Source organism: Homo sapiens, chromosome 16, assembly GCF_000001405.40.
Source record: "Homo sapiens chromosome 16, GRCh38.p14 Primary Assembly".
NCBI classification, from domain to species: Eukaryota; Metazoa; Chordata; class Mammalia; order Primates; family Hominidae; genus Homo; species Homo sapiens.
In genome coordinates, this window is record NC_000016.10 from 48,137,676 (window position 1) to 48,154,741 (window position 17,066).

The 17,066-nt window shown below is 44.3% G+C and overlaps 1 protein-coding gene across 9 annotated transcripts in view; it reads right to left on the minus strand.

Annotated features, from left to right (window-relative positions):
- ABCC12 (ATP binding cassette subfamily C member 12) overlaps positions 1-17,066 on the minus strand; it is a 75,112-nt gene that overhangs the window by 56,794 nt on the left and 1,252 nt on the right. For 5 of the 9 annotated variants that reach the window (NR_171632.1, NR_171631.1, NR_171630.1 and 2 more), the window contains 6 exons: positions 8,631-8,799; positions 6,235-6,390; positions 3,531-3,678; positions 3,012-3,245; positions 1,488-1,661; positions 553-700 (listed from right to left, as the gene is read on the minus strand). Coding sequence is in view for 3 of the 9 variants with exons in the window: in NM_001392028.1 (NP_001378957.1) it covers positions 553-700; positions 1,488-1,661; positions 3,012-3,245; positions 3,531-3,678; positions 6,235-6,390; positions 8,631-8,749 (979 nt within the window). In the remaining 6 variants the exon portion in view is untranslated. Of the gene's footprint in view, positions 1-552; positions 701-1,487; positions 1,662-3,011; positions 3,246-3,526; positions 3,679-6,234; positions 6,391-8,630; positions 8,800-15,940; positions 16,210-17,066 lie in introns of those variants that run through there. The other 4 variants (NR_171628.1, NM_001393797.1, NM_033226.3 and 1 more) reach the window with 3 other exon arrangements.

The following is a 17,066-nucleotide window of genomic DNA, read 5'->3' on the forward strand; positions in this document are numbered from 1 at the left end:
TGTCAGCAATTATGTAAATGTCCCTGCAATTAGATTTGCATTTATATTTGATCAAAATAGTTTCTATATCAGCTTTAAAAAAAGTAAAACTACATATGCATCTCCTCGTGTCTGCCCAAGGAGTGTTGAGTCAGTGGACCATCCGAACACAAGGACGCTGCTGCAGGCAAAGAGGTCTGTGTAACCCTGGATGTGTGAGTGTATGTGTGTGTAGATGTCTTCTAAGTTAAGTAAATAGCTGGAGACAGCTTTTTTCCTGCTCACAATGTTTTTAGTGGATTATTTTTATAAAAAGTAACTCGCCAGGACCAGGATCCACATGCCCCAGGAAAGAGAAACCATATGTCACTCACCCCTGGGTTCACCAGAACAGATGCCTGGCTCTATTATTAAATCTCCATAATCCTTTGAAAAATTCTTTGACCTGCAGAGCAGCTCAGAGGGTCCCCTCAGCCTCCTTCTGGAATGCCTGGCCCTGGGAACCGTAAGAACCCCTTAGAAGAGCATATTCTACAAGGTAAGTGGTTCTTTAAGCAGCTACTCTTGTCCTACCTTGGATAGTGTTGGTAAAAGATTTCTCCCAGGCATACATTTTGATCAGCCTGATGCAGGTCAGAAACTCATTCATTGTCTGAACTCGCTTGTCTGTCACCAAAATTGCTGACCTTCGGAAAGCTGAATTGAGCTTGGCCATAAACATCTGAAATCAAGGTACAAACACTGTTTTCAGAGAGAAGTGCTGAGTTGCAGCTGGCCTAAAAATCCAGAAATGGGAGTGTAAGTGCCAGAAAAAGTTCTAAAGGAAGTTGGCTTCAGATTCTCAGCCAAGTTCTTCCCTTGAGTTGTGGCTGTTGATGCTGTCTGAGGAACACCATGGGGGGTCAGGCAGGTCATGTAAAGGCATGAATTGCCAGGACTCAAAGAGAGTGCTGGGGGCTTTGACAAATTGAAGAGGCATTCCACTTCCTAGAGCATTCAAATTCAAGCTTTTTTTAAAAACCTTCACTGTGGCCAGGTGCAGTGGCTTGCACCTGTAATCCCAGCTGCTCAGGAGGCTGAGGCAGGAGGATGGGTTGAGCCCAGGAGTTCAAGACCAGCCTGGACAACATAGCGAGACCCTATCTCTACAATTTTTTTTTTTAACTAGCCAGGTACAGTGGCATGCACCTGTAGTCCCAGCTAGTTGGCAGGACTGAGACAGGAAGACTGCTTGAGCCCAGGAGGTTGAGGCTGCAGTGAGCTACGATTGCACCACTGCACTCCAGCCTGGGTGACAGAGCGAGACCCTGTCACTAAACAAAAACAAAACAAAAAACAAAACAAACAAACAAACAAAAAACCACTACTCTGTGCCAAAGGAAGTAAATCTGTGAGTACAAAATGGGGCACAGGCTTCATGCGCCAGAAATGCAGCCTTCCACCCAATTCAGTGAAAGTGTGTGAAATGCAAATACAAAGCAGTTAGAAGCGCAAAAGCCTGCCGTTACCTGGACGGGTATGAATATGACATACACTGATATCCCGATGAGAGCTGTGGGCCCCAGAATGAAAAAGGCGTACGCCGCACAAAAGACCATTAGGATCGGGATGGTGGCTGGCAAAGGACAAAACAAGGCAGCTTCAAACAAAGAATAGCTATCACTTGACAGTATATTGAGCACCTGGAAAGAAAAGCGCAAAGGTTCAGGCTTTGGAAGAGTCAGTCAAACATGTCTTTAAATGAAGGCTTTCAGATTGGCCGAGGGGATCTAGGGAGAAAGGAGAAAAACTTCTCTAAAGCAGGAAGGGGTCACCGGGGACCAATATGATGAGTTTTATGGGTTCTGGTACGACTTTGGAGAGGCTGGTCTTTTAGGGCTGATCATCTCAATGCAGAAAGACAAAGTGTAATGTTACCATCTGGGAGCATGCTGGAGGGACTGCTAGCTGCCTACCCAGTCTCCCCCACCCCCTTCTCCCTCAGCCTTCCTTGTGAAGACAACTCCGCTTCTTTCGGGAAGAGATGGGCCCAGAAAAGACTACATTTCCCAGCCTCCTTTGTGGAAGGAGTGTGGCCATGTGTCCATGTTGAGGGCAATGTGATGTAAGCCAAAGTGTAGAATGGGACATTTGTGATGAATTCTTAAAGGGAGCCAACTCAACCTGGAAGGCACCCCTTCTTCTGTTCCTCTTTCTCCTACCACCTGTCTGAAGCGTGGCTGGGATGGCTGGATCTCTAGCATCTACTTTTGAACCATGATGACAGCCATGTGCAAAGACAGTGATAAAGAAAAGCAGAAAGATCTGGAAGCTCCTGTGCCAACCCTGCATTATTCCCTTCTAGATTCCTTTTACATAGAGTGAAATTAATTACTTTTTTTTAATTCACTGTTATTTTGGGTTTGCTATATGCAACTGAATCTAATCATAATTAAATGCTTTGAGCTTGCTAAAAGAGCAACTAGTAAGAAAGAAGCAAGTCTTTTATCTTACCCCACACCACCTGGGGTTCCCTTGATTCAAGAGTTTTTGTTGTTGTTGTTGTGTGTGTGTGTTTTGTTTGTTTGTTTTTTGTTTTTGATAAGTGTTAAGGATTAAGAGCTTAAGAAAATGTCAACTCTGAAGTCCAATAGGCATGGTCTTCATTGTGGTTTTGGCACCCCCTATGCTACACAATTGGGATTATTGGAGCCATCAGTTCATCCATTTTATTAAATGCCTATAGTGTGCTCAGTACTCCTCCACAGTCCCCACTGACCATCAAAGCGATTGGATTAAGTCTCCCTGAGCCCTGTTCCCGCTGGAACTAGGAAGTCTCTCCAAATTCTCCAGCCTGAACTGAGCCCTCCCTCTCTGAACTCCTCTGGTGTTCTGTGTCTCCACCACCTCACTTAGCCAGGAGATGGGACATGATGGGCAGGTCATAGACAAGCAAAAGGAAGGCAGGTGCTCCACTCAGGATCCACATCTCACATGCACTCAAACCACTCAGGGCCCATTTTCCAACATTAAACTCCTCTGAGCCAGCTTACCTCGCCAACAGAGATGTGGGTCAATGTCTTGAAGGACACTAGGTTTTCAAAAACCAAGGTGGAGAGCGCCACCTTCAACCGGATGGCCGTGCGGTAGTTGATGGCCCAGGCAAGGGCCCAAAAGAAGACTTTGGTAAACTCGGTGGCAAAAAGGGCTATGCACAGTCCAATGCCAACCCAGACTTTCCCAGAGGTCCTCTCAGTCTGCTGGAGGATTTGGTGAATGAGAACTGTCTGTAAAACAGCATGGTGGGGAGAAGAGAGGGCCACTGAGGGCTGAGGCTGGCATAGGAGGCCTCAGATCATGCCAGCAAGCTGACTTTAAGAGGCAAACTTTTTAATTAATTTTAGTGGCTGCTGCTGTGCTTGACAAGGATTCACTTTATGAAAATTCGCCCCCAAGGAGCGCAAAGATAATGACAATGCACTAAACCCACCAGCTCGTAGAGAAAGTAACTAATGACATTCTTTGCTAGGCTGGGGACCTAGCAGATGAGGAGGAAGGGCTGCCGCACTCACCGGCCCTATGGCTGCCATGATGATGCACAGGATGTTGGCCACGATGTCCATCAACACGCGTGTCCTCTGGAATTTCCACACCACGTGGCTCAGAGAGGCCTTCTCAGGACCCACCCTTGCTACCTCTTCATCCCAAAGGACTCGAAATCTGTGATGAAAAAACAGAAGCATAAAATGGATTGGCACTTCTATGTGCTGTTTGAAGCTACGCTGTTGGGCATGCTCTTGCAAGGGTGCTCGGCAGAGCCCCCCTCCCTGGCAGTGGTGCCTTCCAGCACTGGCTCAGCTTTCTGCTCTTCCTGAGCAGGTGGGATTTGGGAAGGGCAGGGGGCAATGCCTAGATACAAGCTGGTATGCCTGTGACATCTGGGTCCTTGCCAGGCCTTCTTTTCCTCTGCCTACCACCCATCTCTGCCACAGTGTCAGCTCTTATAAGAAGGCAGAGGCAACAAAGAGGCCAAGAGAAAAATCTCAGTGCAGCGAAGACATTGTTCATTTCAAAGATCTGGAAGAAGACCAGAGAGACAGGAGTGTGGTGCACAAAGAGGAGGGGCTGATGGAACAGTGGGAAGCAAGGCAGGAACTTTTGGGACCTTGGGGGACTTCACAAGACCTAGGGAAAACCTCAAGGGCCTTCAGGAGTTTAGGTTTCACTCCAAGTGCAAAGGAAGCCATTACAGTTTTTTAAGCCGATGTGACAAGATCATTTTGCACATCTAAAAGATCAATTGGCTGCTATGAAAGTGATGGATGATGGTGTGAGACCACAGCAGGAGATTGTCAGCCTCCAGGTGAGAGGTGGCAGTGGAATTAAAGAAAAGTGGACAGAGAGCGACAACAGGGCTTACTGATGAATAAGATGTGGGAGGAAAGGAGAAAGAGGTTCAAGGACCGACCCCAGTTTTCGGGCTTGGCCAACTGTGTGAATATTTACAGAGACGGAGATGGGAAAAAGCAGAAGAGGAGAGGAATAGTGCTAAGTCTGGGGCCCTGGGTCAAGAATAGGTCCAGCTTTAGATAGAAGATGCTCGTGAGGCATCCAAGTGTAGCCATCCCATTGGATGCTGGCCATGCAGTTTCAGAGTCTGGAAGTGGGCTGTGGCCTGGAGATAGCCACGGACATGTTATTGGGGGAGTCAGCATGTGTTTGGTGTTTAAGCCTTTGGATTGGAGGGGTTCACTTAGGAGCATAACACAGAATGGCAAAGGCAAGGATCTAAGTGGACATTGGGTAGATGGGAGGAAACATTAAGAACAGATGGAGAAGTACTGGCCAGAGAGAACGGCAGAGAGGTGGTCCAGTGCCTTGCCCTCAGTGCTCCCTGGCAACTTTCTCCAGGAGGTAGATTTTGGAATGTACCACTAGCTGAGATTTCTTCGGGGCACAGATGAGGAGAAGCACAATTCTAGAAGCAATTAGGAGGCCATGACTAACACTCCCAGGCCTTCCCCATTCTTTATATTATACATTTAATCAGAACCACAGAGTTCAATGCAGCTGCTGGAAAAAATGAAGTTGATGTCTTCATCCTAACATGGAAAAGTCTTTATAAACTCTTAACTGAAAAGAGCAACATGATCAACAGTTATGTAGTATGCTTCATTTTTTGTTTAGATTAAAATAAAACATGATCTGTGAGTGGGGGGTAAGAAGAGGTACTGATCTGAAGAAGACGGTAGCCCAGGGTGTGTTTAATCAGAGTAGGAAAATTCTGGACAGAGCCACAGTGAGATTTTCATAGTGCTTGCCTCCAGGGAGTAGAGCAGGAGCATGGGAGAGATCCTTCCACGGCTTAAACTTCTGCTGCTTTCACATTTTTATAATGAATATGAATTAGGTTGGACAAATGACATTTACATTTTTACAAGTTAAAATTGTCAAATATTGGCAGTTTCATTAGGATCAACCTAAATATATTTTGTAATATAAAAGTCCAATAATGATGTTTAAAGTAAAACAAAACCTGATGCTGCATGCTGGTCAAGTGGGGTCTGACCAGCACAGGGCAAAGTGAGATTCCAGCCACCTCTGTCCTGATGCGGTGCCCCTGCAAACCAGCTGGAGCTCAGCCAGAAGGGTCCTGAGCCTCAGGCCATAGCTCTTCAATGAGTCCTCTCTCCCCGCTAATGCTGCCTAATTCCCACCTCCCCACAGCTTGGGCCAAGAAGTTCATGCAGTCCAGCCCAAATCTCAGAGAATGGTTACCAACACCCATTGGTGTCATTTTCCATGTTGGGGAAATTGTGAAGCACACAACTAGGGAGCACACAAAAGAGTTTATGGGACCCCTTCCTTAGAGTGGGCTTCTCTCCTGAGGTGACTGATACAGTTTGGCTGTGTCCCCACCCAAATCTCATCTTGAATTTTAGCTCCCATAATCTCCACCTGTCGTGGGAGGGACCTGGTGGGAGGTAACTGAATCATGGGGGTGGATTTTCCTGTGCTGTTCTTGTGATAGTAAGTCTCATGAGATCTGATGGTTTTACAAAGGACAATTCCTCTGCACACACTGTCTTGCCTGCCACCATGTAAGACGTGCCTTTACTCCTCCTTCACCTTCCACCATGATTGTGAGGCCTCCCCAGTCACATGGAACTGTGAGTCCATTAAACCTCTTTTTCTTTATAAATTACCCACTCTCAGGTATTTCCTCATAGCAGTATGAAAATGGACTAATACAGTGACCCAAGCAAATCCTGGTACCTTTTGGCATTGGTGTCAGATGAGTCATATGTCGACAATGGGGGCAGGGTGTCTACGGTCAGCCTTTGCCGGTAGCCTTTCACCATCACCGGCGTGAGCCAGGAAAATGTGGCGAAGGAGAGTAGCCCGGCATCATCCACCGGGTTGGGTGCTAACCTGCAGACAAACAAGACACTCAGCGTTCCAGGCACTGGGGTCATTGCCCCAACTCTCTCTCTGGATTGAACTTGTAACTACAGCAACAACCACAGCTGCACTCAGAATCTGTGACTTGCATTCATTATGTTTATTAGCCCTTTGAGCAGTGATGTGCTGGGGCCAGCTGGTGAGAGCCAATTGTTAAATTTTCAGGAATTTTGCAAGTTAGTTGTTAAACACAGTCAATATTCAAAATTAAATTACCTAAGTTTTAATAAATTGTCTTAAAGACAAAGGTAATAATACTCAAAACCCATCACTTCCTTTTTTTGTTCTTCTTCCTTCATTTCTTCTTCCCCTCCTCTTCCTTCTTTTTTCCCCTCCCATTCCTCCTTCTCTTCCTTTTTTTCCTCCTTCTCCTCTTCTTCCTCCTCCTCCTGCCCAGAATTGCAGGGCATTAATACCCCCAGGGGCAAAACTTCACTAAGGTAGTATAGAAGTCCACCTCACATCCTCTGGGTGGAAAACTGGACACTTTCTAGAAGGACCTAGTAGGATCCAGGCCCCTCTGCTCACAGCAGTGACGCTGAGGCCACACCTCACTTTGCCTTTTCCTCCTTCCCTACATCACTCTCCCTAAATCTTTCTTCTTGCTGCTTGGAATCACTTCTCAAATAAGCTATTTGCCTCCAGGTTCTTGACTGAGGCCCTGCTTTTGGGAGAATTCAAGCTAAAATCATGTGAATAAGGTACTACGAGCTCAGCACATAGTAAAAATTCCCTAAAAGGTGACTTTCATGATACAGTCATGCATTACTTCATATATTCCTCACAACAACTCAGTAAGATGGGTGGCAGGGTCATATTATATGCCTATTTCATAGACAAAAACATCAAGGCACAGAGAGTTTAGAGTATTTGCCCAAGGTCTTACTGCTGGAAAGTGGTGAGATGGGAATTCAAACCCACTGCTTGTTGACTCCAGTGTCCTGTCATTCCCTTCAGCACCTCCCCACATTGCCTCTCCACAAAGCGATTATAAACTGGTTGAAAAAGTGGACAGTTAGAGATCTCCTGGGGCTAGGAATAATAGCCCACGTCCTCACCTTCCAACCTCCACCTCTCACCTTGGAGGGCTTAAATGTGTGTGTCCTTGGCCCAGACAGAGATGCTGGGAGAAGATAACGCAGTGTCCGCTTATTATAGAGTTGCCACTTGGCCTTCTGCTGCTCAGAGAACAAACCACAGGGCCTCGTTCCATGTAGAAAAGGCAGCATTTCATAATGTTATGGTTAGCATAATGCTAATAATATATATAATAATACAATATGCTGCAAGGTTGAGCATGTGAGCTCAGAAATCAGACTACCTGAGTTTCTATCCTGGATTTCAAAAATGACCCCGTTTTCTCTCCCCATCTGTTCCCAATTCCTTGGAATGTGACCTGGCAGCTCATTCCATCAAAAAGTCGAGTCTGTTTCCTCACACTTTGAATATAAGCTGGCTTGTGATCTGCTTTGGCCAATAGAATACAGTGAAAAAAGTGGTGTGCCAGTTGCAAACCTGAATCTCAAGAAGCCCTGCATGCTGTCACTCATTCCCTTGGAAGCCTGCCACATTACTGTGTGACCGAGCCTGGGCTAGCCTGCTGGAGGTTGAGCACACGCGGGGTCCAGTTGCCCCATTGCCCCAGCCAACAGCCGGCCCACCTCCAGCAGCACAGCCACCTTGCTGTACAGGAGTAAGCCTGGTCAAGACCAAATGAACCACCCAGCTGAGCTCAGCCCAAGTTGCTTTATTTTATGGGTCACCCATCAAACTGTAAGCTAAATGAGTGGCAATTGTTTTAAGCTGCTAAGTGTTGAGACAGTCTGTTACAAAGCAAAAGCTACCTGGTAAACCTTAGGCAAGTCACTTAACCTCTCTGTGCCTGTTTCCTCACCTATCAGATAAAGATAGTAACAGTACCTCCAGGGAGTTTGTGAGGAGTGAATGAGAAGATATTTGTAAAGCACTTGGACAGGTCTGGATCATGGAAAGCTCTCCTTAAACCTGAGCTACTGCCTCCTTTTCACCAAAGGACAGGAGGAGGCAAGGAAGTGAGTGACTGATAAATGAATGAACGTGTGCATGGGTGGACGGACAAAAGGACGAGCAGATAGAGCAGCAGATGGGTTGCAGGAGCAGTGCCCACTCTCCTGATGGACATTCCTGGAGGTCCTGCCCTGGCCCTCCCTTCTGTCCTTCTTCTGACTTACCTTGCACAGGGTCGCACTGGGATCATGGTCTTCAGGCTGGGGTCATATCTTTCTGCAAAGGATCTCCGCCGGCCTCGCTGGTCCAGATCTGAGATAAGGTAGGGTCCTTCACCCACCATCCTGATGGCAGCCTGGAGCCCTGGGCTTTTGGCCTGGGGACACTTTCACTCTATGGCAGAGAAATGGCAAAGGTTATTGAGAGGTGAGGATGTCTGATTGGGATCAGGCAGCCTCTACTTTACCCAGATCAGTTCCTTTGCTTTGACCCCTGAGAACTGTTTTCACCAATGAGCTTTCCACATTTGTAGGGGAGTGTGGCCAGAAGACCTGCTACGTCCCTTAATGCTACGCTGAGGCTTTCTTATTAGTAGGACCATTTAATTCCTCTTTTCTCATGTTGGGTTGGCCAAGAGCAGAAAACCCTATGGTGTGGTTTTGGTTGGGAGCCGGTCCAATGACCAAGGCTGAGTCCCAGCCCAGGGAAAGAGCCCCAAGAAAATGGGTTTTCTTAGTATTACTCAGAGTTAAGTTTGGCTGACACACACACACATGCACATGCACACATGCACACACATGCACACACACATCCACACAGATGCACACATGCACACACATCCACAAACATGCACACACACCGCCATGCGCATACACCCACACACACCCACGCACACACATGCACACACCCCTTCTTCTTTCAGATTCTCTCAGATCCCCAGGAGTTTTTGCATCCACATCCCCTCCATCCTGATACCCACTGGTCAGAGAACTTCAACAACACCACCCCTCAGGACCAGCCACATCTGGACAGGCCCACATTCCCCACACTTCTGTGACTGCTGCCCCAAATGAAAACCAACAACCCAGGTGGAGAGGACACTTTTTGCAATGTCTGTTCAGTCCCCAAGCCAGCCACCCCATCCTCCAGCCACCTAAATCCAATCCATAGAGCATGATCCCTGAAGGTTTCCCATGCCTAGTCTTAGTCCTTTCCTGAGGCCTCCCTCTATTCCTGCCCTAGGGTCCCATGACAGCCACTTCCCCATACCCTATAGATAAATTCTCCTTTTTTACCTAAGGTATGTTGAGTTGGTCTCTGCCACTTGCAAACAAAGGCCTTATTATTATATATAAACGGGGTCACATTCCCATGAGTTCTTTCTGGAAGTTTTCATAGCTAGAAGCAGTAGATAAACCAACTCCCATCAAGTTGTTAGTGGCTGATAAAACCATGGCATGGCAGAGCTGGAAGTGTCCTCAGATGCAATCTTTTACACATTTCTCATTATACAGAAGAGGAAACAAAGGCCCAGAGAGAGGAAGGACTTACTCAAGAGTATATAGAGAATGAGTAGCATCTATCTCATCTGGGGCACTCTGGATACAGGAAACTGATGTTCCCTCCCTCCTCCAATAACCCTACAATAACCCTTGCTTATATTATATAACAAGAGGCACTCCTCTGGAATAATATACGTACTTTTTACAACAGAATTTGAAAATCATAATGTCTTCATCTCAAAAAGATAAATCCCCCAACGTGGAAACTGAAGACTCGTAGTCAGATGGAGAAGCCCACATGTTTTAGAGCTAGTAGTTGATGAAAAGCTCTTTAATCATTGTTAATGAATTTAAAGTTTTTGTTGTTATTGTGGTTGTTGTGGAGACGGAGTCTCACTCTGTCGCCCAGGTGGGAATGCAGTGGTGCGATCTTGGCTAACTGCAACCTCTGCCTCCCGGGTTCAAGCAATTATCCAGCCTCAGCCTACTGAGTAGCCGGGACTAGAGGTGCACGCCACTGCGTCTGGCTAATTTTTGTATTTTTAGTAGAGACAGGGTTTTGCCATATTGGCCAGGTTGATATCGAACTCCTGACCTCAGGTAATCCACCTGTCTCAGCCTCCCAAAGTGCTGGGATTACAGGCGTGAGTCACCAAAAAAAAAAAAAAAATTGAGACAGGATCTCACTCTGTCGCCAGGCTGGAGTGCAGTGGCACCATCTCAGCTCATCATAACCTCTGCCTCCTGGGCTCAAGTGATCCTCCCTCCTCAGCTTCCCAAGTAGCAGGGACTACAGGCGTGCACCACCATGTCCAGCTAATTTTTGTATTTCTAGTAGAGACGAGGTCTTGCCATGTTGCCCAGGCTGGTCTCAAACTCCTGGGCTCAAGCAATCTGCCTGCTTCAGCCTCCCAAAAGTGCTGGGATTACAGGCATGAGCTACTGTGCCCAGTGCAGTTAATGAATATTAATGACATAAATATCATAGACCCAGCTGTAGATTCCTAATTCAATGAGAGTATTAGCAGCTACCAGAGACTCCCTAAACCTCTGGCCAAACTGCATACTCTACTCTCCACCTTCTATTTGTACCATTGAATACTGCACTCCAGCCATGTGGAATATCTTACTACTCCCTGGACAAACTGTTTATTCCTCCTGCTTTTTAGTTTTTGTATTTACTACTGGCACAACCTGGAACCATCTAGTATCCCTTTCTTCACTTGACCAATTTCTGCTCAGCCTTCAAGGCTCAGTTCAAACATTTCCTTTTCTAAGAAAACTTTCCTACATACTTTTTTATTTCCCCAAACAAACTGTGGGCTTCTTGTTTGTCTTGTTTGCAGCTATATTTCCAATACCTAGCATAGTCCCTGGTACATCGGAAATGTTTAATACGTATTTGTTGAATGAATGAATAATAGTAAGTATGAGAAACAACTAAGATGCAAATCCTTTCCCCAGAAAGTGAAAAATAAGCACACAATAACACACAGTAAAATATAAATTATTTTGAAATTAAGTATGGGATGATATAAAAATAACAAATAAAGTATAAATTATAACATTGTGTTAGCCCTAGAAAAAATACTTTTTAAAAAGGGTTAAAGCTAAGAAGTCAGTCAAGGAAATAAAATGAAACACTAAATAGTAGATTAACCAAAAAAAAAAAAAAAAAAAGGTAGGCAAGGAGGGACAGAAGAATAAAACACAAAAGGAATAAATAGAAGACAAATATTAATAGCAAGCCAATAGACTTAAACACAACCATATCAACAATTACATTAAATATAAATGGAGTAAATATTTCAATTAAAAAACAAAGATTGTCAGACTGAATATAAAAAGAAGATCCAATGATATGCTTCCTATGACAAGTTTATTTTAAATATAAACACACAAATAAGCTAAAAGTAGCAGGGTGAAAAAGGAATACCATGTTAACAGTACAAAGTACATACAGAGATATGTATTTATGATCTTATGATAGGGAATAATTTCTTAAAGCAATTTTCTTTAAAAAGTCCTAAAGCAAAATCTTGATAAATTCTAGTACACTGAAATTACAGAAGACATAATTTGTAAGAGAAGCAACATACTGGCACAGATGTGACCCATTTAACTGTAAAGAATTAGTATGCAGAATTTATAAAGAATTCTCAATACATTAATAACAGAAGGACAAACAATTAATTAGAGGAGCCAGCAAAAGGCAATTGACAGATGATCCAAATACACACAAAAATATGCTCAATCTCTGAGTATCAGGAAAATATGAATTACAACCACAATCACAATAACAGCCATTTCTCATTCTTCAAATAGACATTATTTAAAAGTCTAAAAATTGCAAGTCTTGGCATATGTATGGAGCACTGCAGCTCTTAAGCACCCCTGGTGGGAATATAAATTGTATAACTAATTTTTAAAGCAATTTGGCATTATCTGGTCAAGTTAAAGATTCTTACTAACATAGGCAGCAATTATCCTTCTTAATTATATATATGCCCTGGAGAAAGCCTGCCTGTTCAAGCAGTCAGATACAGAGTGGCCACTAATTTTGCAGGCTGTCTTCCACTCTCCTGCGAATTTCCTCCCTGCCCCTGCTAGCCTCTCTTCTCTCATACTGGTGTCAACACTGAAGTTCAATCTAGGAAAACACAAGGAAACAATCCACAGAGGATGGAATCTCATGCAAAAAATATTTTTGTGGCCCCTCTACAGGAATATTTATAGTGGCTCTGTTTATAATATCTTAAACATACATGAATAGGAAAATGGATGAACAAATTGTATAATATGAGTTTGGCATATTACTATTCAACAGTAAAACTGAATCAACTAAGTCCACATATCAAACTATGTGTATAGCTCATATGATAAATTGAGAGGAGGGGAAAAAGCTGCAGAAAAATACACACACTTTGATACCATTTATATAAAGTTTGCAAACTTGCAAAATATACAATACACAAATTCATGTGCTTGCAATATATAATAATATATTTTATTTAATAATGACTATATTTGTAGTAAGATTTCATTTCTCCAAGTACTTGAATCTCCTTATATTGGAGAATCGTATTAGAACTAAGATCTGGGCACTAGGTAAATTCTTTGTTATTAGGATGTTGTTGCTTCTAGGCCCTCTCAGCTGACAAAGCAAGGAAATATATGTATGCATATTAACTAGTGCATAAACACATATCTATAAATATTTCTATATGTAACCGTCCATATCTATTTTAAGCTAACAGTGAGTTCATACTGACTCTCCAACTTGAATCCATTACCATAATTATCACAATTCTAGCCTCCTCCCCTTGCTTATTTGTAAGCTCCAATTCTAAAACTGAGAAGCCTGGCTCTCACCATCTACCATGTGTTTACTTAACTGTGTACATGTATAGCAGTATCAGAATTGTCAACCCATAGCCCTGTGAGAAACAACTTAATCAACTAGAATCCAATGCTTCCAAGAGTATAGTACCATATGGAAAAGGAAAAAAAAATAGCAACTTTGCAGTGGAGAAGCCTGGCACACATCACCTCAGCCAGGTAATCAAGGTCAACATCAGCAGTGATAAGTCCTGTTGATAACGTGTACCCTTAATATGATGGGGCAAAAAGGGCACTTTACCTCTGAGGTCCTCCGCCCAAAACCTCATAACGCCGGTCTAATCATGAGAAAAACATCAGACGAATCCCAATTGAGGGACAGTCTACAAAATACCTGACTGGTACTCCTCAAAACTGTCAAGGTCATCAAAGACAAGGAGAGCCTGAGACAGTGACACAGCCAAGGGGCACCTAAGGAGACCTGACAACTACCTGTGAAGAGGCATCTTGGATGAGATCCTGGAACCAAAAAAGGATGTTAGATAAAAACAAAGGAAATCTAGTAAAGTATAAATATTAGTTAACAATGTAGCAATATTGTGCATTAATTACAACACATATACCATACTAACATGAGATGTTATTAATGTTATTAGCAAGGGTAGCTGGATATGGGGTACTGGAGAACTCTGTACTATCTTTGCAATTTTTTTTGTAAACCAAAACCATTCTTAAAAAATAAAGTTTATTTTTACAGAATGAATGGGAACACTCTACACCAAATTCAAGATGATGGTTACCTCTAGGGGTGGGGAAATAAGATCTGGAAGTTACTCAGGTTTCCTCCCACATTGCTGTAATATCTGATCATAAGTTTAAGAATCTAAAGCCGAAAGCAGGCTGTCTGTGCTCAGTGTCACTGAGTAATGCAGACCTGTGCTACAGAAGTTCTGAGAAAGTAGAGGTCAATACGGTCTGGGAGGAGGACGGGGTTAGGGAGGACTTTTGTGGGAGGTGAGACTAGAAGGATTTGAGAAAAAGCCCAAACAGAGATTTTTGCCTGAGCCTTGGTTTGTGTGGTGTGCCCGTGTCATGGGGCTCTATGCACCAGACTTAGGTAAGAGTCGAGACAAGGCTTGGCATGACCGTGAAAGACTTCAGATTCAAAACCTTCCTTGGATCCTTTTCCACAAGACTTCCATTTGTTTGTTTACCAGAAAGCCCTTCAGAATTTTCTGTACCCAAGGCACCCTCCACTCAGAACAGCCTCCTGCTGACCTCTCTGCATTTACTTCAGGAGACAGAGGGAGGCTATCCACTGCAGAGATGCTGGGGCTGAAAAGTTTAAAAATTGGCCTCTCATTCTTGCATAGGTCCTTGGCTCCCTGCATGAACAGAACCCAGCCCTGGTCTGGATCGGAAGCAAGAAAAGAAGCCTGAACCCAAGTACGGCCTTTGGGCACGGTCTTTCTACCACATGTCCACCCGCTCTGCAACTGCCGGGCACAGCGGACAGTCAAGCTGTGGTCCATGATCAACAACCTACGACCTCCCAGTGGCCGCTGGGCCACTGCCCTGCCCTTGGTAACCTGAGCAAAGCAGAGGTAGGAAAGCAGGTTAGCTGATGAAGAAGAAAGAGCTCACGGCAAGTTCTGAAACCCAGCTGAAATTATTTGGGGGAGAATCATAGAATCCAAGACATGGCAAACCAGCCTCTCAGGGAGAATTTCCCTCTGGCCCACCAGATCGGGCCTCAACATGCTTTGGTGACAGACCCCAGTCACTTCTTCTCAAGACGGCCCGCATGCAGTATTCCTGCAGGAAATGCATACCCTGCGTCTAGTCTTGAGAAAATACCAGATGAACCCAAAGGAGCTTTCTACAGAACAAGTGGCCTGTGCTCTTCAAAAACGTCAATTGCACGAAAGACAAAGAAAAGTGAGGAAACATCCCAGATTAAAGGATACAGAAGAGATGTGACAGCTAAAAGCAACACACAAGCCTGGATTGGATGCTTGACCAGAAGAAAATTAATTTGCTATAAAGAACATTATTGGCCCAAGTCAAAGGTCAAACTGTGCACTTGACTCTCAAGTCACCCGCCTGACCCTCTTCCAAGTGTACTTTACTTTCTTTCATCCCTGCTCTAAAACTTTTTAATAAATTTTCACTCCTGCTCTAAAAAAATAAAAATAAGTAAATGAAATGTGTAAAAGAACAGTATTGGAACATTGGAGAAATCTAAATATGGACTATAGATTCTGCAATAATATTTTATCAAAGATAAATTTCCTGATTTTGATATTAATGCTAAAGTAAATGTGGCAAAAATGTCACTGCAAATCTCAGTGAAGGGTAGTTGGGATCTCTTAGCATTATTTCTGTTACTTTTCTGTAAGTTTGAAATCATTACAAAATAAAAAGTTAAGCATTTTCTAAAGAAATAGCCCTAAAGGGGATGATTTTTTTTTCCTTCTGTGGAACTAAATGCAATTTTTCTGCACACTTCTCAGCTCTCAGGAGCCATGCATCCTCCACTGATGTCCTCTTCATGTGCCCTGTGATATTTGAGGACCATTGTCATTTCCGACAACTCACTCCCAGCCACCCAGTGGCTAGTCCTCTCTCATCCAGGCTAATCTTTCCCAGCCCCTTTGAGAAGGTGGAACTCATTGTCAGTGGAGAACCCTTACCTATAACTTCTATTTTTTGGTTCCCTTTTCTAATGGTAAGGGACCCTGGCAGCAAGATGTCATCAGCTTGTCTTAAGGGCTCCTGAGTCCCAGATGCCAAACACTGGAGGCCAGGCCTCCCTGGCCAGGTTTGAGTAATCAGCGCGCATAGGAAATTGGTGCTAGAAGGTAATTTCCTTGAGTGCTCCCCAGGGCATGTGAAGTTTTGATGATCTGAGGCGGCTTGGAAGCATTGCAGCTGGAATGGCACTTTGCTAAATTTGGCAGCCCTGGGGGGAAAAATGAGACTTTTTTTAAAATCAGGAAGCCTGCTTTGGCTAACGTCTCTATCCCCGTCTGTCACGCCATCCTCTGCCAGGAGTGAGGAGCTGCCTGGGGTGAGAAATCTGTTTGCTGGCAATCACAGGATGGGGTCTGAGGGGTACACAGCTGATGAGAGCTGGGAGGAGGCAGTGCCAACCGGGCCAGGGTCCCTGCAGCCATCATGGCTCTGTTCTTGGCATTGTGTTTTCCATGCAGAGCATCTGAGGGTTGGCAGGAGATGCCAAAAAGTCACTGGTGCACCCCTCTGCTAGCAGGCAGGGGGTTCCTAACCTAACCTCAACAGACTGGACAGGCAGAAGCAGGAAGGCCTCTGTTTAGAGCACAGGACACAAAGACCATGTACAACTTGCAGTTCCATTTTATATGGCCTGCATAGTTTAAACATTTTTTTCCAATTTGTGGAAAACATTTAAAAATGAGGAGATACCACATTAAAAAAAAAATAAGACTGGCTTCTGGCTTTCGTCAAATATCAAGAGCTCTGTATGTTCATGTGGTGACAATCCACTTACGTTGAGCACGGCAGCCCCTCCTGGGCAGGGTATACATGCTTTAGTTTGCCACAATCCCCACCACTCCTTACTGTCTCTGTGACTCTGAGATTTGGGGTCATGTAACATTTATTATTGCATTGGCACTGCTGTCTTCCTTATAGTGTTTCCTGAGGCCTTTTTCTCTATCCTTGTCTCTGCCCCAAGAGAGAACAAAAGATGTCTAGAAGTCATCTCAAGAAGAACCATTTTCCACACCTGCCCACTTTGCTCTGTTATATTTCATTTCTGCCCCTGTCTAGCCCAGAAAA